This window comes from Homo sapiens, chromosome 1, assembly GCF_000001405.40.
Source record: "Homo sapiens chromosome 1, GRCh38.p14 Primary Assembly".
Classification (NCBI taxonomy): domain Eukaryota; kingdom Metazoa; phylum Chordata; class Mammalia; order Primates; family Hominidae; genus Homo; species Homo sapiens.
Window position 1 is genome coordinate 117767689 of NC_000001.11, and position 23091 is coordinate 117790779.

The following is a 23091-nucleotide window of genomic DNA, read 5'->3' on the forward strand; positions in this document are numbered from 1 at the left end:
TGTTGAATTGATCTCTTTACCATTATGTAATGGCCTTCTTTGTCTCTTTTGATCTTTGTTGGTTTAAAGTCTGTTTTATCAGAGACTAGGATTGCAACCCCTGCTTTTTTTGCTTTCCATTTGCTTGGTAGATCTTCCTCCATCCCTTTATTTTGAGCCTATATGTATCTCTGCACATGAGATGGGTCTCATGAATGCAGCATACTGATGGGTCTTGACTCTTTATCCAATCTGCCAGTCTGTGTCTTTTAATTGGAGTATTTAGCCCATTTACATTTAAGGTTAATATTGTTATGTGTGAATTTGATCCTGTCATTATATTAGCTGGTTATTTTGCCCATTAATTGATGCAATTTCTTCATAGCATCAATGGTCTTGACAATTTGGCATGTTTTTTGCAGTGACTGGTACCTGTTGTTCCTTTCCATGTTTCGTGCTTCCTTCAGGAGCTCTTGTAAGGCAGGCCTGGTGGTGACAAAATCTCTCAGCATTCACTTTTCTGTAAAGGATTTTATTTCTCCTTCACTTATGAAGCTTAGTTTGGCTGGATATGAAATTCTGGGTTGAAAATTCTTTTCTTTAAGAATGTTGAATATTGGCCCTGACTCTCTTCTGGCTTGTAGGGTTTCTGCTGAGAGATCCACTGTTAGTCTGATGTGCTTCCCTTTGTGGGTAACCCGACCTTTCTCTCTGTCTGCCCTTCACATTTTTTCCTTCATTTCAACCTTAGTGAATTGGATAACTATGTGTCTTGGAGTTGCCCTTCTCGAGGAGTATCTTTGTAGTGTTCTCTGTATTTCTTGAATTTGGATGTTGGCCTGCCTTGCTAAGTTGGGGAAGTTCTCCTGGTTAATATCCTGCAGAGTGTTTTCCAACTTGGTTCCATTCTCCCTGTCACTTTCAGGTACACCAATCAATCGTAGATTTGGTCTTTTCACATAGTCCCATATTTCTTGGAGGCTTTGTTCATTTCTTTTTACTCTTTTTTCTGTAAACTTGTCTTCTCACTTTATTTCATTAATTTGATCTTCAATCAATGATATCCTTTCTTCCACTTGATCGAATTGGCTACTGAAGCTTGTGCATGTGTCCTGAAATTCTCATGCCATGGTTTTCAGCTCTGTCAGGTCATTTAAGATCTTCTCTACACTGTTTATTCTAGTTAGCCATTCATCTAACCTTTTTTCAAGGTTTTTATCTTCCTTGTAATGGGTTAGAACATGCTCCTTTAGCTCGGAGAAGTTTGTTATTACCGACCTTCTGAAGCCTACTTCTGTCAACTCATCGAAGTCATTCTTCGTCCAGCTTTGTTCCATCACTGGCAAGGAGCTGTGATTCTTTGGAGGAGAAGAGGTGCTCTGGTTTTTAGAATTTTCATCTTTTCTGCTCTGGTTTCTCCCCATCTTTGTGGTTTTATCTACCTTTGGTCTTTGATGTTGGTGACCTACAGAAGGGGTTTTGGTGTGGATGTCCTTTTTGTTGATGTTGATGCTATTCCTTTCTGTTTGTTAGTTTTCCTTCTAACAGGTCCCTCAGCTGCAGGTCTGTTGGAGTTTCCTGGAGGTCCACTCCAGACTCTGTTTTCCTGGGTATCACCAGCGGAGGCTGCAGAACAGCAAATATTGCTGCCTGATCCTTCCTCTGGAAGCTTCATCCCAAATGGGCACCCACCTGTATGAGTTGTCTGTTGGTCCCTACTGGGAGGTGTTTCCCAGTTACACTACACGGGGTCAGGCACCCACTTGAGTAGGCAGCCTGTCCATTCTCAGAGCTCAAATGCTCTGCTGGGAGAACCACTGCTCTCTTCAGAGCTGTCAGACAGGGAGGTTTAAGTCTGCAGAAGTTTCTGCTGACTTTTGTTCAGCTATGCCCTGCCCACTGAGGTGAAGTCTATAGAAGCAGTAGGCCTTGCAGAGCTGCAGTGGGCTCCACCCAGTTCAAGCTTCCCAACTACTTTGTTTACCTACTCAAGCCTCAGCAATGGCAGATGCCCCTCCCCCCACCTGGCTACAGCCTGGCAGGTTGATCTCAGGCTGCTGCACTAGCCGTGAGCAAGGCTCCATGGGTGTGGGACCCACTGAGCCAGGCATGAGAATCTCCTGGTCTGCTGGTTGCTAAGACTGTGGGAAAACGGCAGTATTTGGGTGGAAGTGTCCTGTTTTTCCAGGTACAGTCTGTCATAGCTTCCCTTGGCTAGGAAAGGGAAATCCCCTCACCCTTGCACTTCCTGGGTGAGGCAATGCCCTGCCCTGCTTCGGCTCGCCCTCTGTGGGTTGCACCCACTGTCCAACCAGTCCCAGTGAGATGAACCAGGTACCTCAGTTGGAAATGCAGAAATCACCTGTCTTCTGTGTTTATCATGTTGGGAGCTGCAGACTGGAGCTGTTCCTATTCAGCCATCTTGGAATGGAGTCCTACATCTTTTGAATGAAGAATTTAATCTACTCACTTTTAGAGTAATTATTAAGCAAGGACTTACCATTGCCATTTTGTTAATTGTTTTCTGACTGTTTTGCAGTTCTCTTGTTCCTTTTTTTCTTTCTTGCTGTCTTCCTTTGAGATTTGATAATGTATATCTAGTGGTGCACTTTGATTCTTTCCTCTTTATCCTTTGTGTATTGACTACAGATTTTTTTCCTTGTGATTATCATGAAGCTTACATAAAACATCTCATAGTTACAATAGTATATTTTAACTGGATAACAACTTAATTTCAATTGAATACAAAAACTCCACATTTTTACTCCCCCCAAACATTTTATGTTATTGAAGTAACAGATTCCATCTTATTATATTATGTGTTCATTAACAAATCATTGTAGATATAGTGATTTTGATACTTTTTTCGTTTAACTTTTATACTAGAGTTAAAGGTGTACTACTATTACAATATTACAATATTCTGAAAATGACTATATACTTCCCTTTACCAGTGAATTGTGTACTTTCATGTTGATAATGTCCTTTCATTTAAACTTGAAGAACTCCCTTTAGGATTTCTTGTAAGTCATGTCTAGTGGTGATTAATTCCCTCAGCTTTTGTTTGTCTGGGAAAGTCTTTATCTCTCATTTCTTAAGGATAGCTTTGCTACATATGATATTCTTGATTGGCAGTATTTTTTTCTTTCAACACTTACAATATATTATTCCAATATTTTCTGGCATGCAAGGATTCTGCTAGGAAATCTTCTGATAGTTTTATGGTGGTTCCCTTATGGTTGATAAGTCATTTCCAATTAATTAGTCCATCCCTCCCTCCCACTTTCCTTCCTTCCTATCTTCCTTCCTTCCTCTTGACTTTTGACAGTTTGATTACAATGTGGTTCAGTAAAGACCTCTTGATGTTCAGTCTATTTGAGGTTCTCTAGGCATCATGATCTGGATATTCATTTCCCCAAACATGGAAAGTTTTCTGTCATTATGTCTAAATATTTTTCTTCTACTTTCTCATTCTCTAATCCTTCTGGGACTCACATAATGTGTATATTGGTTTGCCTGATGGTGTCTCAGAGGTCGTGTAGACATTCCTCACTCTTTTTCATTCCTTTTTCTTTTCATTCCTCTAATTGAATAATTTCAAATGACCTGTCTTTAAGGTACTGATTCTTTCTTTTGCATGAGAGAGTCTACTGTTAAGCTTTCTATTGAATTTTTTAGTTCAGTCATTGTACTCTTCAGCTCCAGCATTTCTGTTTGGTTCTTTTTTATGGTTTCTATTTCTTTGTTAAGCTTCTAATTTTGCTCATGTATTTTTTTTTTATTTTTGTTTAGTCATCTATCTGTGTTCTCTTGCAGCTCTTTCAGCTTCTTTAAGATTACTTTTAATTTTTTGTCAAAGATTTCATGGGTCTCCATTTCTTTATGGTTTATTACTGGCACTTTATTAGTTTCCTTTGCTGCAGTCATGTTTGCCTAATTCATCATGATCTGTGTAGTCTTGCATTGGTGTCTATGCATTTGAAGAAGACACTTATTCCTGTCTTTATAAAACTGATTTCAGTAGGTAAAGATTTTTTCCTGCCGTGTTCCTGGATGAACTAACTCCAGGATTGTAGTTAGGTGGGGCTAGAGCCAGGTCTCATGGCTGTTTCCAGATTCACTGTCAGGTCTGTGGTTGGCAAGCCTGGTTACCAGGAACATGTTGAGGTATGGCTTCTTTGAGTCTCTAAATATGCTCCTGTTAGGTAGCTGGGCTGGTCTCTGGGTGATCAGGACTTCCTCTGAACTTCAGTAGAATGGAATTGAAGCCAGGTCACAGGACTGCTTCAGTAACCACAGTTGGATCCAAAGTTGTCAGGTCTGTTACCTGGTTGTTTTTTGGTGTGGCTTCCATTAGGTTCCTGAGCAGGTCTCTGGGTGGGCAAGACTGCCATGGACAATGATAGAGTGGGCTGAAGCCAGGTCATTTAACTGCTCCAGGGACTACAATCAGGTTCAAGTTTGGCAGGCTTGTTATGGGGAGCATGAATGGATGTGACTTCTCCTGGGTCCCTTGGTGGAAGGGGCTGGTGTCAGGACTGTGAACAAGGGGGGCTGGAGCTGAGTTCATAGAGGGATGGAGCTCCTTCAGCCCACAGCTGGAACTATGGCCAGTGGAATTGTCACCAATGTGCTGGCTTGCCTTCTCAAAGCAGCCCTCCCGAGTCTTGGGCGCCACCAGGGCTTTGCAACCTTCTGCCCAGATCCCCAAACTCCTACAAAGACACTTTGTCTATAAATAGCTGCCAAATATTTAAGTGGTTTTGTGTGTGTGTGTGTGTGTGTGTGTAGGGTGTGTGTGTAGGCTGGGGACCTCTATTTTGTCATCTTGCTGATGTCATCTAGTTTGTCTTTTAAGATTACTCTGGCTACTATATGGAAAATGGATTGGGAGGCCAGTTAGGATGCTATTGTAAAATTCAGGCAAAATGAACTTACCGTCATGTTTATGAAGCTTATTTCCAGGGCCCTTCACTAGCACAAAGCCTTTATATGGCCCTGAGAGAGAGCCCAACAATGAGTTCTTATGCTCAAATGATTTTGCATTATTTGTGAGAGTAAGATAAAACTGCAGTTTCTTTCTACTCTAATTCAACCTCCATCACACTTGCCCTCATGACAGATGACATTGGTATGGCTGTGAGTATTTTGTTATCTAGCTAGGTGGAAGTTGAATTGGAGGAAACATTTAGTATGCATTTGACGGGATATATTTTATGGTTCTATGAAGTCCTGCCAGCAAATGTATAAGCAATGAGAGATCCCCTAAACAGTCCTCTTTCCTGTATTTACCTTCACTCTATACTTAATGAATAGCCCACTGCTAATCAGTTTTGATCCAAGTTTGAGTCATACAAATATCCTCCTAAATAGTCTTTCTTTTCCAGTCCTGGACCCTTTCAGCCGCTTCTCCACACTATCCCCAGAGAGGACTTCCTGAAAATATAGGTTGGATACTATCATTTCCATGATTAGAAACCTTGATGACAACTGTTAATTACACACAGGATAATGAACAGCTTCTATAACCTATCTTTATTCTTTTTCCATCTTTTCTTGGCTTACAGTGTGAAGAATTGCCCACTATTTCCTGCTTAACAACTTGCAGTCTTACACAATAATAGGTTACAAAAATTATAAGTAAAGGGCAATGTTGACTCCTTTTCAATTTATCCACTCCTGGGCCTGGCACTCTTGCTTCTCTGTGGCCACAACTCTGGGAAGTGTCTCTTCTACACCTCACATCCCATTCACCTCTAGTTGCTTTGATCAAGTAGTAGGGAGAAATGGTATTGATTTGTGAGGGCGGAAGTATAGCAGGTTGCTTTAAACCATCACTATGCTAGGTAGCAGTGCTATTTTATCAGTTTAACAGAATTATCACTGAAAAAGTCTGTGAAGGTTCTGCTAGCAAAGGTTTAAAACCTGTTTGAATTGCTATACCTAGATTTGGGCAAGGAGTAGAGGAATAGATTGGGTCTGGCAGAGAAAGGGTGGGAAAGCATGCCATAAAATAGTAGCCAACTTAGTCTGATTGATACTTCAACAGGTTCAAAGCTTTATATTTGTTTGTTTAATAAAAATGTTGATCCTCCCTATAGTACCAAAGTCTAAGAAACAAAACTACTCAATAAGAGTGATAAAATTCTGGCCAGACTCATCAGGAAATTAAGAAGACACAAATTACCAATATCAGTAATGAGAAAGGGTATAGCACTATTGATTCTACAGATATTGAAAAGACAATAAGGAAGTATTTTCAACAACTTTATGCCAATAAATTTGACAACTTAGATGAAATGAACAAATTTCTTGAAGACACAAATGACCAAAGATTATTCAAGAAGAAAGTGGTATTCAATCGTCCAATATCTATTGAAGAAATTGAAGTTATGGTTGAAAACCTTCCCACAAAGAAAACTCAATGCCAAAATGACTTCTGAGGGGATTCTATCAAATGTAAAATGAAGAAGTAATATCAATTCCATGCAAACTCTCCCAGAAAGTTGAAGTAAAAGGAATACTTTCCAAATGACTCTGTAAGCCTGGCATTACTTTGATACGTCAACCAGACAAAGATATTTCAAGAAAAAAACACTATAGACCGACATCCATCATGAACAGAAATGCAAAAATTTTTAACACATTTTTAGCAAAGTGAATCCAACAATACATTAAAAGAATAATACAACATTACCAAGTAGTGTTTATCCCTAGAATGCAGGGTTTGATTTAACATTTGAAAATCAATCAATGTAATTTATCTTACTAAAGACTAACAAAGAAAATCCAATAAAATATTATCTCAATAAATGATGAGGAAACATCTGATAAAATCTAACACCTTTTTCTGATTAAAAAAACTCAAAAACAGCAAAGAACTTCCCCAACCTGACAGAGAACATCTATGTAAGCCAATGGCTAACATCAAACTCAATGGTGGAAGACTTAATGCTTTCCCTTTAAGACCAAGAACAAGGCAAAGATTGCCTGTTTTCATTGCTTTTATTCAATATTGTGCTAGAGGTTCCAGTCAGTGCAATAAGGCAAGACAAGGAAATAAAAGACACTCAGATTGGAAAGGAAGAAGCAAAACTGTCTTTATTTGCAGATGACATGATTGTCTATGTATAATATACAGTAGGGTCTACAAAAACACTACATAGTATACAATATTATTAATACTTTTGGTTTACAGGTTTATAGAAGGTTGTTAACCATACTCACTTCTTGGTGCATTATTTTCATGTTCCTGCAAGGTCCCTCTTTTGTTTTTCCTTCAACCCAGATTCTGACTTCCATTCCCTCCCTTTCCATACCACAAAGTCATTCATTCTAATGTACTTTTTCCTGTCTTCAAATATTTGTGCAAAATATTTGTGAAAAAATATAATTTTAAGGGTTATATGTTCATCTTAAATTTTTATACGTTATTGTGCCATACATCTCATCATTTTGTACTTTTTTCAATCAACACTATGTTTTCAAAATATATGTTTATATTTTCCTTTTCAGGGCCATGGATGGAGTTGGAAGCCATTATCCTTAGCAAACTAACACAGGAACAGAAAAACAAACACTGCATTTTCTCACTTATAAGTGGGAGCCAAACAATGAGAACACATGGACACAGGGAGGAGAACAACACACACTGGGGCCTGCCAGTGGGGGAAGGGGGAGGGAGAGAGCATCAGGATAAATAGCTAATGCATGCAGGGCTTAATTACTAGGTGATGGGTTGATAGGTGCAGCAAACCACCATGACACACATTTACCTATGTAGCAAACCTATATGTCCTGCACATGAATTCCAGAACTTAAAATTAAATTAAATTTAAAAATGTGTGTGTGTGTGTATTTTTGAATGAACCTCCAATTTGTGATTTATAGCCTGCATCTACCATACCTAATCTTCATTGCTGAGAGAAATTAAGAAGATCTAAATAAATGCAGAGAGACACTGTTCACGGATCAGAAGATGAAATATTCTTAAAATGTCAATTTTCCCTAAATTAATCTATAGAATCAAAGAAAGCCCAATCAAAATCCCAGCAGGCCTTTTTTGGTAGTAATTGATAAGATGATTCTAAAATTTATTCAGAAATTCATAACATCTGGAATAGCTAAAAACATATTCGAAAAAGAAGGACACAGTTGGAGGATTAACACTGCCTGACTTGCAGACTTAATATAAAGTTGTAGTAATCAGGCTGAGCATGCTGCCTCACGCCGGTAATCCTAGCATTTTGGGAGGCCAAGGCGGGTGGATCACCTGAGGTCGGGAGTTCAAGATCAGCCTGGCCAGCATAGCGAAACCCTGTCTCTACTAAAAGTAGAAAAAAATTAGCCAGGCCTGGTGGCGGGCATCTGTAATCCCAGCTACTCAGGAGGCTGAGGTAGGTGAATCACTAGAGCCCTGGGGTCAGAGGTTGTAGTGAGGTGAGATTGCGCCATTGCACTCCAGCGTGGGCGACAGAGTGAGACTCCACCTCAAAAAAAAAAAAGTTATAGTAATCAAAATAGTATGATATTGATGTCAAGATAGATCAGTGAAAAGAAGAATAAAGAGTGCAGAAATAGACTCACATGCATATCATCAATTGAGTTTCAACAAAGATAGGGATTCAGTAGAGAAAGGACAGTCTTTTCAACAGATGATGTTGGAATAGTTGGATATTCATATGCCAAAAAAATGAACATTAATACCTAATACTGTGTACAAAAATTAAGAAAACATAAGAGAAAGTCTTTGTGATCTTGAGTTAGGCAAAGATTTTTTAGATAGAATGCTAAAAGAAAAGAAATAATTGATTAACTGGGCTTCATCAAAATTAGAAATTTACTTTTTTTTTTTTCAATGGGGAAAAATTTAATTTTATGCTTCAAATTCATATCATGTACATTAAGTACTACATGAATTTGTCTTTAGGCTATCAATATTTAACTTGGGCAGTACTTCCTCTTGATTTATTTGGAGAAATACAGCTTAGGCATCTGCTTACCTGCTTAGGCATCAAAAGAGGTGCCAAATTAGAAAATAGGGCATTAACAATCAAAATTTTTAAACTGACCCACATACTTGCTACTGGTTTCGCTTATGTTTAAGCATTTAAAGTTGGCAAAACATGTTATCGATGTATTATGCAAGAGTTTACATCTTTTGCATAAGTGGTCCATTGGGTTGCACCTACCCCTTGACCAAACAAAAACAAAACATCACTGGCACCATACTCGAAACTACCTGTATCCTAGGTTATAAGATTGTGAAAGCCAAAAATCTATAAGGTTGGAGGGACTCTAGTTAATCTTTGGGCTTAGAGGAGGAAAAAAAGATAGTCCCATACTGCATTTCACATCTCTTAAAAATAGTTTTAGCAGCTTAAACCTTTTTAGTTATAAAACTTATTACACTAGGGTTTACTTTGAAATATAGTTTACAACCAAATCAAGTATAACATACATACACTGGCACTTTAGCACAAGGGCAAACTTTAAAAACAAGTTATTTTGGACCTTTAAAATTAGGCCATATTATAAAAAACAGTCCACGGTCTTACATTCAGCAAATTCATACTAAAATATTCCATTTTTGTAAGATAAAGGCCAAGAAAACTTTACATATGCTACAAGTTTATTACAGATATTTACATGGCTCTTTCTCCCCTAGGTACTTAAAATTTTCACATTATCCAACTCCCCAAAGCAAGCTTGGCAGGAATGAGGAGGCCAGATCACTATTAGAATAGCTTGTGCAGTGCTGTAATACAAAAATGTATTTTGAAAGCTATTGAGTGACCATTAAATACTGTTTCTATAAAAAATGGTTTTGGTGTATTTGTTGACAGACACTTAATCCACTACATTTAATAAACAGGGCCATTGGGGTGTACTATGTCTCATTCTAATGAGCTCCAAATGCCCTTTCCACCCACTGTACAATTCACTAAAATGCAATTATTACGAAAAATTCACATTTTCTTTCAGCAGTGCATCAGGTTAGCATATTACTGGTTTGGGTGTTTCTAATATACTAAACCTTCAGATGTTTACCTAATTCTGAATCCTTGTGTTAGCCAGAAGCTTATAATCCGATTCACCAACTTTCAACAATCTACTGGTCCATGAATGATAAATTACTATCTTCCCCTAACAATAGAAAAAGCTGATTCCTTTACCACTCCCCAAATCTAAACTTGGTTTCCACTTAAAAGTTACTCAGTTGAGAACACTTAATATCAATTACAATCATTAGTTTAAGTTGCACTGATACTACCATTATATCACAGTGCACACAACACGAGATGAAGTCTATTTTTTTTACATTAATTAGTTCTACACAAATAGATTCCCTAGCAAATTTGTTTCAGACCAATTGACAACTATCTGTGAACATAACTAAACTTAAACATTTGTCTTATTTTATACCTGTACTTTAAGTAAGGTTTTAAGTTGAAATGTCATTATTTCCTTATCTGAAGGATTAAAGGAAACAGGGACCCAGTGGCTTGGTGGTTTGGGAAGAACACTTGGTGATGGCGGCTCACTAAATTTGGCACCAGCATAGTTCTGTTTAGCTTGAGATTTAAAAAGTAAGCTGGGACCTGATAAGCTAGAATTCCAACTTTGATTATTTGGAAAATTTTTGTTCTTCCCCCCATTTTTCATGGCCTGCCAGGCACCTGCTGATGAGTTATAACCATGTCCTCTTTCTTTTTTCTTATGAACAATCTTCATCTGGGAATTCTGTTCCTTGGTCTTCTGTCTGTTAAGCTGTTGTTGGTTCTTACTAACATTTCTAGATTGAGGGGCTGGAATGTTATACCTCTCTCTACCACCCATCTTCAGCTTCTTTGTCACCTTTCAGTCTGCTTTTCAGATTGCAGGATCTCCACTACCTGTCCTCTTCCTTGCTGCCAAGCCCAAGATAACAAGTGTTGCTTTCTGACAGATCCCTTCCTTTGTCTCAATACAGAAGTTTTCATGGGCCGATCTGCTGAGTTCAGCCTAGGAGCTGAGGCCAACATCTGAGTCTCCTCAGCACTCAAGTTTGAGAGAAGTCCTAGTGACTTCAAGCTCGGAACTAACGCGGCAGCGGCTCCCTCTCGACGTTGAAGCCTCCCTCCCTTTCCAGGGAGAGACGAGGCACGGACCGACAAAGCCCACGAACACCGATGAGCGAGCTGCCGGCCACCCCAGCTTCTACAATCCGACCTTCTCCTTCTGCCTCTACCGACAAAATGGACAGAAATTTACTTTTTAAAAGACACTTTCAAGAGAATGAGAAGATAATCATCAAGTGGGAGAAAATATCTGTAAATCTTCTATCTAAGAAAACACTTGATCCAGGATGTAATGAAGCACTCTGAAAACTCAGTAATAACAAGAAAAAAAAATGGGTGGAAGATTTGAGCAGACACGTTACTGAAGAAGATATTCAGATGGCATATAAGTATATGAAAATATGTTTAATATCATTAATCATTAGAGAAATGCAATTAAAACCACAATAAGAGATAATTACTCTTCTATTAGAATGGCTAAAATTTACACATCTGGCCATATCAAGTGTTAATGAAAATGTGGAGGAACTGGAACTTTCATATATTTCTGGTTGGAATGTAAAATGGTACACTTTGGAAAACATTTTGTCAGTTTCTTAAAGATTTAAATAGATGCCTACAGAACTTCTAGCCTTTCTACTCCTAGGTATTTACCCAAGAGAAATCAAAACATATAGCTGTACAAAAACGTACACACAAATGTATAACAGCATTATTTGTAACAGTCAAAAACTAGAAACAACTAAAATCTCCATTAACAGGTGAATGGGGAACAAATTGTATACTACTCAGCAATAAAAAAGCATGAACTATTGATGTATGCAAAAATATGGATGAATTTAAAATAATTATGCTGAGTAAGAGAAGCCAGGCAAATAAAATCGTGCATACTATATGATTCCATTTATATACAATTCTAGAAAATGCAAACAAATGTATTATAACAGAAAACACTGGCATTACCTGGGAATTTGTTAGAAATTCAGAGTCTCCCTGCCCAGGAGATTTTATGCACTTTAAAGTTTAAGAAGCCCTACTCTAGACAGTCTAGAGGCACAGTGGATTTTGAGGTACAGGGGGATTCAGTGGTGTTGCATTTGGTGATGGTGGGACAAGAAGCTTGGGCCTCTCCTCTGAGCTGCTGACTCAGAGTTAGGGAAAATAAAGATACCATTCATGAATCCAAGCGGGGTCCTGGATAGAGCCAGAATATTGTGGGGCAGGTACAGAGCACAAGACAGTACTGTTTGATCATAGGTGACTAGTCACTTAGGCAAGGCCAGGAGCACGGGTGGCAGAGCCAGAGGGGTTGCAGACACACCACAATTCCATTTTCACAGGCAGAGATGGGGCAGGTAGGGCCCCAGAGCAGAAGCTGGGGCGGTTGTCACTATTTGCTTAAACACCTAGTGGCTCCTGGTTCTTTTTCTTTTAATCACAGAGACCCCCAAATCTCAAGGATGCAAAAACCCTTGGCTGCAACGCTCACTCCATTATCACTCGATGATCACAGATATACTTCCTGCATTTCTCTCACAATCACTGAGCACCTACTATGTGTTAAGTACTGTGCTAGGTGATGGGACTTCAAATATTCTAGAAGTCTGACACAAGAGTGCACAGATGCACACCCTTTGGTCTGAATGTTCAGGTTAAACGTCTAAAATCCAATCTGAACACTCCTACCATTTTTTCTTCTCCCTCTGACCCTGAATAAATGGGACAGTTATCATTTCACATTTATTGAACCACAGCCACATACGTACAAAACTGGACCTCTGTTCTGTTGGACTTCCTCATTACCATGCTATGCTATTAAACATTATTTGTCCCTGGGGCAGCTCTTGGCCACCCTTATTTCCTACTCTTCCCCTCCAGCTATCACCCCTTCTCCACACAACCTTGAAGAGTGACTGTTTTTTAATTTAATATTGTGTCTTAGTTCACTTGCTGTTGTCATAACAGAATACTGCAGACTAGATAATTTATAAAGAAAAGAGATTTATTTGGCTCATGGATCTGGAGGCTGGGAAGTCCCAGATTGAGGGACTGCATTTGGTGAGGACCTTCTTGCTGCATCATAACATGGTGGAGGGCATCACATGATGAGGAGCTGTGCATGCAAGACAGAGCAAAAGGTGGCCGAATGCCTGGAATAAAAAACTCACTCCCACAATAATGGCATAAACCCATTCAAGAAGGAAAAGCCCTCATGACCTCATCATTTCTTAAAAGTCCCACCTCTTAATACTGTCACAACGGCAATTAAATTTCAACATGAGTTTTGGGAGGAACATTCAAACCATGGCAGATTATTCTCCTAGGCTGCTTTGACCTAGGTTATTTCCAGCTCCCTTTCATAACTGCCTCAGTCCTGTTCCGTAACATTCCTAGTTGATGTGTGCCTTGTCTCTAGTTGATGTGCTTTGTGCATTTTCTTGACATTTGTTTGTTCCTGCTTTCAAATCATTAGCAAAGATGTTAAATGAAACCAGACCTGACCCCGCTCTCTGGGGAAGTGCACTTAGCCCCCTCCCCCAACTCCACTCACTGGAGCTGTTTCTGGGTATGTATATCATTATTCTTTATTTATGATCTTCCCAGCCAGTTGTTGAGTCCATGTGACCACATTCTCATCCAAGGCAATTTGAGCTGGCCTTAGAGGAGAAATGGCATGGCAGGGTGAGCAAAATTTTTTACCCAAGTTCCAAACCATTTACTAAAAACCTGGCCTCGCTGTTTTTCTCCTCTGCCGAGTTGCTTGAACTCACTTCTTTCCATAAATCCTCTGTGACATTACCCTTTCCAGATGGCGATGGATTTTCACTGTTAACATCTGTTTTATTACTGTGACTATCTAATTTACTAGCCAGTAAGTTCCACAATTAGCTTTCTTTTGCTTTCCTTTTTGAACATTAACACCATATTTATGGCATCTTCTTCCTCTCTAACCTTGATTTTCAAATCTCTTCTAAATTCTCCAATAATTTTTCAAATGCTTTATACTTTCTCCCAGGGTGGTAATGCTCAAGGCCCCACCTTCTTGGTGGCAGATCTGAGCATAACAAAGGTGCTGCTTAACCTAAATCTGGAGGTGGTGTTGCTTAAATCCATGTCCCCAGTTAATTAGCTAGGTTGCTTTTTTGTAATTTTTAAACCTCACTCAGATAAAAAGAAAAACGATAATTTTAATGATGATATTAATAGTAACTCTAGTTATCTAGAAGACATTTATGTAGTCTCTCAGATATCTAGAATATAGTAAAAAACAAACCAAAAAACCCCAAAATCCCTGCCACCACTCCCCAAAAATAGAAATAAGCAGAAAAGCCATAGAGAGATCAAAAAAGACATCATGTGTCATGAAGTCCACATATCATACGACATCATTCTTCCACATTGTCTGAGTTCCTGGTGTAATCTCAGTAGTCTCCTTGTGCCCTCCACGGAGAGTAGGGTGAGGGTTATCTTTAGTTTTCTAAGCCATTGCCTCTAGCGGCACTCTGGTAACCAGGTAACTACTTTGGTGTTTATCAGGCTGCCTAGCACAAGGACCATGTGATTTTGAGCCAGAGGATAAACCTGGGGGCATATTCAGGCCAATCTGCTCTAGCCCACATAGCTGGTAGCATTTAAAAACAAACAAAAAACCAAACTCCTAGAATCCTCTTCTTCTCGTCTCTATTTAATATATCTTATTTATCATCTGAAATCATTTGACTTTCAAGTTACATCAGAACAAAAGAAGCAAATCAGAAGTAGGGTGGTGGTTACTATCAGCAGTCACTCTGATCACCACAAAAAGTGATAGCTGCCGGGGAAGAGAGAGAAAACCTAAAAAGTAAACAAAACCCAAAGCCTCTGGAGGCTTAGCAGATTGGGAGCTATTTAGTGTAGAAGCAAATAACTCTACGTTATTTTAATATCCTTTGTTGGAATTACACTATTTAGTAGCAAGACAATAATATTTATAATAATGACCATGATTCAGAAAGGAAAGTTAGGTTTAGCAACTATATTTAAGGAAGTAAGGAAGTGTGTCCTTAATTTTAAATTAACACATAGTTGATGAGCATGATCCAAAATTCACAAATACGTACTGAGAAATCCATTTCCTTCCCACCCTGATTCCCTAATCTCCCAGTTATCCTCCATGGATACAACTATAACCAATCTCTTTTGGAATTTTCCAGAGATATTTCAAGTGCTTTTAGAAAAGTGTGTTTTGTAAATCACTTAAAATTTTTTTTAGATTCTGATAGGTAAGCTCCAGTGATCCGGAAAATTCAGTTAGGTAGAACTGCTTATTGCCCAGCAATTCAGAATGAATTAGGCATTACTTAGTATGAGTTGAGTTTCCTAATTTTTCAGATTTTTGGGACAGAGAGGCCCTCATAGACCTCAGAGAGACTGTAGAAGAGACCTGATCTTGTCATTTGCAGGAGTGGGAAGGTTCTAATTTTTACCCCTGATTGCTATGAGGATTGTTTTCTCATCTCCATTCCCCAGAGTTTTTCTTAATCCTACCATGTGCAAAGGCAGCGTGGTTGGAAGAAAACACAAGGGCTTTAGGGGCTAAATGAGATATAAAGAAGAAGAAGATAGGATCCCCAGTACTCGGGGATCTAATTTTTTTAAAAGTTAAGGGAGGAAAACAGGGTAAGGTGTGTACAAATTGCTATAATAAAAAGTATAATATTTGCTATAGGAGAATTTAGAATGCTATGAGAAGAGATTATTTGGAGCTGAAGGAATCCAGGAAAGTTTCATGAAAGAAGTAGCACTGGAGATAACTGTGGAACGAAAAGTAGGGATTCAACAGGAGAGAAGACAGAAAACATCCCAGGAAGAAGAAAAAGCATGAACAAAGATATGGAGCACTTTGGGCAAAACTGTTAATGGGATGATAATTTGCCATCCATTCACGTTCTTTTCTGAAATACTTCAAGCTTGCTCCCGAGTCTGATATTGGAGCTGGGACAGGACATTGGCCCACAGACCAAGGGGTGTCTTTGGGAAGGAGCCAAGGGGATCATGTCCAATAAGGCGAGGAGAATCAAACTGATTAGTTTGCAAGGAGAGCCAGCTGCCTCCTCTACCCTGACTCCAGCAAGTCTGCTCTTGGGGACAGATGCCTCTTTGCTGGCCTAGTGTGGCTAAGCCATCAGTCTAGGAACAATTCCTTGTTTTCCTGGAACTCTCTCTCATTTTTGTGGTAGTTCTTGGAGTAATATTCCTAGAATGTTTCCAGAATGCCAGGCCATCTGCTTACTCTAGTTTGGATTGGCTCACAGCTGCCTCACTTTCCTGAAGCAGAGAGTCTCTAAAGCAGCATCTAGAGCCATGCTTCCCAAAATGCCAAAAGGTAAACTTTCCTGGAAATAGGTTTGCATTTTCTGACATAGTGTCTTCCATGCTTTCCTGAGAGTAAGCATGCCCTGAGAGAGAGCATGTGTTTGACATTTCCCTCTGGCAGAGGCCCACAGGAGCTCTCATGGACAAGATGGATTTGATTAATGAGGGAGATAGGCAAATTCTTTTGCTTTAAGCTGGAGGGGGGATTTTGTATGTGTTGGGGTTCTTTTTCCTTCTGCACTCAGTCTACGAGTGTCAAGCTCCAGACACAGAGGGCACAAAAGGAGTGTTTGTCTTATTAGAAGACAAAGGTGTTGTGTTTGTTTGTTTTTGTTTTTCTGGAATCATACATATATAGACCTTCAGAAGAGAACTCTGGGGTCACCTAGTTCAAATCTCTACTCTATATGGAAATCTCAGTATCCTGGACATGCTACTATTAATAGGTCTCAGGATTTATGAGAATGGAGACCATATCTGACTTATTTATTGCTATATTCTCAGTGTGTGGTTGTCTGGTTCATGGTAGGTGTTCGGTGAATAAGGGTTGAATGAAGATAGTCCAGAGACTAAGAAATCAGTCCATTTCAAGTCAGCCCATTCTATGTTTTCATACATTCTTTTTCATAGTGAACATATTTTGAAACTAATAAACTATGTCTTTGTCATTTTCAATCATACCTAATCATGTTTCTTTGCAACAACCATTACGGCTCGAAGAAAGAAAGGAGGCCAAATGCTGTCTAATGAAAGAGGATATTATGATGCAGTATTCCTAGTCTACAGAGGTGAAAATGAAAATGAAAGGAAAAACTAAAATCAACAACAAAACTTGTGATCCGAGTTAGGGGTGAGAGTGTGAAGGAGAAAAATGTTGCGTATTGATTTTTAATCAGTTTGTCAATTCCTACTAGTCCTGTTAGAATTTTGTGATGGTGTTGAATTTTATAGATCAGTTTGGAGAGAATTGACATCATAATATCGAGTCTTTCAATTCATGAGCATTGTATATCTCTTCATTTATTTATGTCTTTAATTTTGCTCAGCAATGATGCATAGTTTTAAGTGTACAGATCTGCACATCTTTTGTCAAATTTATTTCTAAGTATTTCATATTTTGATGCTATTATAAATAGCATTTTATCTCAATTTCTGATCTTTGTCAATAATTTGTGGAAATAAAACTAATTTTTGTAAATTAACCTTGTATCCTGCAAACTTGCTAAACTCACTTATAGTTCAAGTAACTTTTTTTTGTAGATTCTTTAGGATTTTAAACATGGATAATCATGTAATTTGTGAAGAAAGATAGCTTTACATCTTTCTTTCCAACTCTATGCTTTTAAATTCTTTTTCTTTTCTTATAAAACTGGCTAGCACTTCCACTATAATGTTGAAGAGAAGAAATAAAAGTGGACTTTTTTTTTGAGACAGAATATTGCTCTGTTACTCAGGCTGGAGTGCAGTGGTGTGATCTGAGCTCACTGCAACCTCCGCCTCCCACGTTCAAGTGATTCTTGTGCCTCAGTCTCCGAAGAAGCTGGGATTACAGGTGCATGCCACCACAGCTGGCTAATTTTTGTATTTTTAGTAAAGACAAGAGTTTTGCCATGTTGGCCAGGATAGTCTCAAACCCCTGGCCTCAAGTGATCTGCCCATCTCAGCCTCCCAAAGTGCTGGGATTACAGGTGTGAGCTACCACACGTGGCCAAGAGTGGACATTTTAACCTTTTTCCTGAATTCAGGAGAGAAGTATTTAATCTTTCACCATTAAGTATGATATTTTGCTGTATGATACTGTAGATACCCCTTATTAGGAGGAAAAAGTTCCCTTTTATTTCTAGTTTGCTAGAGTTTTTATCATAGATGTGTCTTAAATTTTTTCAAATCCATATTTCATATCTGTTGAGACAAATGTATGAATTTTTAGTCTGTTAATATAGTAGATTGCGTTGATTGACTTTTTAAATGCTATGCCAACCCTGCAATCCTGGGATAAATCCCACCTGTTCATGTTATATTATCATTTCTATATGTTGTTGCTAAAATTTTGTTAAGAATTTTCCATCTGTGTTTATGAGGGATTTTTGTATGTAGTTTTCTTATACTTTATTGGTTTTGTACCAGGGTAATGCTGGCCTTATAACATGAGTTGGGAGGTATGCCTTCCTTTTCTATTTTCTGGAAGAGTTTTCGTAGAATTGGTATGATTTTTCCCTTCACTGTTTTATAGCATTCACCAGTAGAGCCATCTGAGCCTGTAGTGTGTGTGTATGTGTGTGTTTTCTGGCTGTTTCTAATATTTTTTTTAACTTTTGATTACAGATGTTTGACTATGCAGTGTTTTAGGTATAGACTTATTTGTATTTATGCTACTTAAAGTTCTACTAAGCTTTTTAATATCTGGGTGTTGATGAGTTTTATCAATTTTGGGAAATTCCCAACTATTTTCTCTTAAAATATTTCTTCTGCCTTCTTATTGTTCTCTGTTTCTGTCTCTGAATATTTTTCTTTCTCCTTTCTCTTACTATGACTTTATACTTTTTTCTCTGTCTTTTTTAGTTCGGATGATTTACAATGACCTGTCTTTGGTTTCACTAAATCCTTTTCCTGCTTTTCCCAGCAAATGAATTCTTCATTTCAGACATTGTATATCTCAGTTTTACAATTTCCATTTGTTTCTTTTTGGGATTTCTATTTATCTCAATCAATCCACCATTTTTTCATTCATTTTGTATATCTCTTGTTCTTTGTTTTAAATATACTTGTAAAAGTTATTTTAATGTCCATACCTAATAATTCCAACATCTAGGTCATTTGTGCATCTGGTTTATTTGACTTATTCTCTTGATTGTATGTCACATGTCCTGATTCTTTGCTTGCCTGGTGACTTTTTTATTGCATGGCAGAAGTTATAAATATGAGAACAGTAGAGGCAGAATTAGATATTTACCCCCAGAAAAGCCTTGCCCTTTCCTCTTTCAGGTGGGTGGTATGTAAGGCTTACCTCTTCTATCTAGTCAAGGATTGATAGATTGGGTTGGGGTTAAACTTCACCCTTTAGTTCACCTCTTATTTTAAATGTCAGGGCTTTGAGATATAAGTATCACAAAACTATGAAATCTTTCCTGTATTTCATTTCTAGACCAGCCTCATCACTGCTCATTCAACAGAAGTCTGATGAGGAAAACTTGGTGGGTAACAAGACCTAGCTGTGTGTTTGGGACCCCACCAGATTCCAAGCTACCATGCCAGCCCACGTGCACTGACAAGAGCTCAGCTAGCTTTTCCTTGACCTAACCAAGTATCTTCACCAATGGTAGTTCACTGCTTAGCCCACCTGTGCCCCCAGGTAGAGGTAATGCCCTCAGGGATGATAGCAGCTGCCACCTCTGCTCATCTAGGAAAGCCCCATTTCTCTCTGAAATTTATTTGTACTTCTTTGCATCCACAGCTCTTCAGTGGCTTTCAATAATGTATGATTTTTTTTTTTCATGTAGCTGGTATTTTTCTCTAGTTACAGCAGTAGTGATACAACCACCTTCATCCCCACAATAAGTAAATCTCTGCTGTTGCATTTTTAATTTTCTTACATCTATTTTTTATTTTAACCAACTCTCTTCCAGTCTCCTCCTTCATTTAGCCTATTTTTCCTTTGGATTTCTGGCTTTTAGTTCATAGAAGCCACATCCTCTTTTGTCTTTTGGAGGACTTTTAGGATTTTTTTTTTTTCTTGAGAAAAATGATCTTCCTCTGAGCTTTTGGGACTATGCTCTATTTTTCCTGATGATACAGTAATTTTTCATAACACATATTTTGTTTTCCTCACTGTCTTCTTGGTAGACTACAGCTTCCCTCTTTCAAATTTAAACATGAAATTGAGGTTGATGTTCTTCACCCCAGTTCAGTTTGCACTGCTTAGCAGTAATTCATCTAGTAAGGTCTGCAGAACTGAAGGGAGATCTCCTCCAGCTCCCACTCTCTTAGTCTTGGGCTAGTGTCAGATGCAGTTTGCTGTTGGAAAGATTTTATAGAATGCGTGATTTGGTTCACAGCATATTTTTTCTAGTTACTAAGTGTGTCAAACGACGATTCAGTCTTTGCTTATCTCTTTCCTTACTGCCAGGTTGTTTGCCAGGAGTGAGTGGAAGATAACACGGGTTGAGGCTGAGTAGGAAAAAGAAGAATGCTTCCAAGATGCTGACTATAATGTGAGGTGGACATGGGAATAGAGTTTACAGCCTGATGTGTCTCTTGTCAACTTCCGGTTGAAATACAACCATGAACAAACATCCAAGGCAAAAACAATAAATAAGCATTGTCAAAAATGACAATAAATGAACTACAGACTAAAGAAGACTGGATACAATGTCTAGGAAAGTTTCTTTTAGCCAAATTAACAATGGGAAAGAGATTAGAAGAACAAGGCCCAAAGAAGCTGGGGAAGATTCACCTTTGCCATTTATAGCTGATTAATCTTCCATCTTGTCACTAGACTGAAACCACTCTTACAGACACAGATCAGTTGCTCACCAACTTCAGAGGGCACTTTGAAATCCTTATTTTATTTGACTTTCTAATGCTCTTAGATATTGTTACCCACTCCCTCCTAGTTCAAATTCTCTTCTCTCTTGGCTTCTAGGACAAACACTCTGTGACCACTTCTTGCCAGTCTTACCTTTGCAGGCTTTTCTCCCTCCAATAATCCTTACCTATTTCTTTTCTTTCTTTTCACTGTTGCTCTATACAATCTCACTCTCACACATGCATAGATTATTTGTTATATTCTGCTCCCCAAACTCGTATCTCTAGACCCAATTGCTTTCTCAGATATCAGATCCAGATTTCCAGGTAACCACTGATTATGTCCATTGGGATTCTCACTGGTACTTCAAATTATACATGTCCCAAACTGAACTCATATTTTCTGCTCTTCCAAAGCAACTTCTCTATTTTCCCTCCTATTTTGGTGAATATCACCATTTACTTAGTTCAGCAAACCGTATCCTCCCTTGAATCTTCTTAAAACTCTCCCTCTTCATCATCTCACAAATTCAACTGAGTCTGATCAACATTTCCCAAATGTTTCTCAAATATATCCCTTCTCTTCATTCCCTTTTACTGATTTATTTTCAGTTCTAATAATCTCCTAATTGGTTTCTCTGTCTGAAGGCTTTTCTCTCTCCATGCTATTCTCCCCACAACAATCAGAATACTTTTCAAAAAATACTATTTGGGGGCCAGGCGCGGTGGCTCACGCCTGTAATCCCAGCACTTTGGGAGGCTGAGGTGGGCAGATCACGAAGTCAGGAGATTGAGACTATACTGGCTAACATGGTGAAATCCCATCTCTACTAAAAATACAAAAAATTAGCCGGGCGTGGTGGCGGGCACCTTATCCCAGCTACCCGGGAGGCTGAGTCGAGACAATCGCTTGAACTCAGGAGGTGGAGGTTGCAGTGAGCTGAGATCGTGCCACTGAACTCCAGTCTGGGCAACAGAGCAAGACCCCTTAAACAAACAAACAAACAAAACTACTTGACCTCAGGGACCCATAGAAGAAAGTATACAGTCCTTGTGTGACTTACAGGCCCCTTCATTACCTGGCTTCTGCCTTCCTTTCCAGCCTTCTCTTTTACTGTTTCCCCAGTGATTCTGCTCCCAGTCAGCACTGAACTCCGGCTATGCTGAATAGCTTGCAACTCTAAAATATGCCACACTGATTCTTTGCATACAATGAATAAAATTCTATCTGTTTCTTGTCTGGCTGGAAAAGTCCTCCAAAATTTTTACATTGACCTAACTGACTGTACATGATCTTCACACTCCTTCCCACCAACTCCTTACCCCTCTGGTCTAATTTCCTATTAATCTTTCACTCACTCACTCTGCTTCAACCACATTAGCTTCTTAACATTCTTCAAATATACCAGACATGCTTCTGTCTCAGGGCCTTTGCACTTACTGTTCTCTTTGCCTAGAACATGTCCCTTCCTCAGATATTCATGGGACTTGCTTCCTCACCTCCTTCAAGGCTTTGCTCATTTTTTTTTTCATTGCAGTGAAGCCTTCTCTGGCCACCCTATCTAAAATTTTAACATACATATGTGCACACACATGCACATACAATATTCCCCATTGTACTTCCCCATTTTCCTTTCCTCCTCATTACTCATCATCTAATATATTGTGTATTTTACTTATTTATCTTATTTATTGTCTATCTCTCACTACTGAAATATAAGCTCCATGAGGGCAGATTGTAGAGTGAGGGACTGAAATATAGACATCACATCGTTATCTCAGTAACTGCTCAATAAAATTGTTTTCCATATATGGAAATGAATTGATTCCCTGGAGACTATTTTTATCGTGATAAAATACACGTAACATAAAAGTTATCATTTGAACCATTTTTAAATGCACAGTTCAGTGGCGTTTGTTACATTGTTGTGAAACCATACCACCGTCCATTTCCAGAATTCCTTTTACTTTGCAAAACTGAAACTTTGTACCCATTAAATAATAACTCTTTATTCTCCCCTCCAATCAGCCCCTGGAAACCACCATTATACTTTCTGTCACTGAACTCGACTACTCTAAGTACCTCATAGGTGGAGTTATACAATATTTGTCTTTTTGTGTCTGGCTTATTTCACTTGGCATGCTGCCTTCAAGGTTAATCCATGTTGTAGCA

The 23091-nt window shown here is 38.6% G+C and overlaps 1 pseudogene; it reads right to left on the bottom strand.

Annotated features, from left to right (window-relative positions):
- On the bottom strand, positions 8835 to 11213 carry PNRC2P1 (proline rich nuclear receptor coactivator 2 pseudogene 1; annotated as a pseudogene).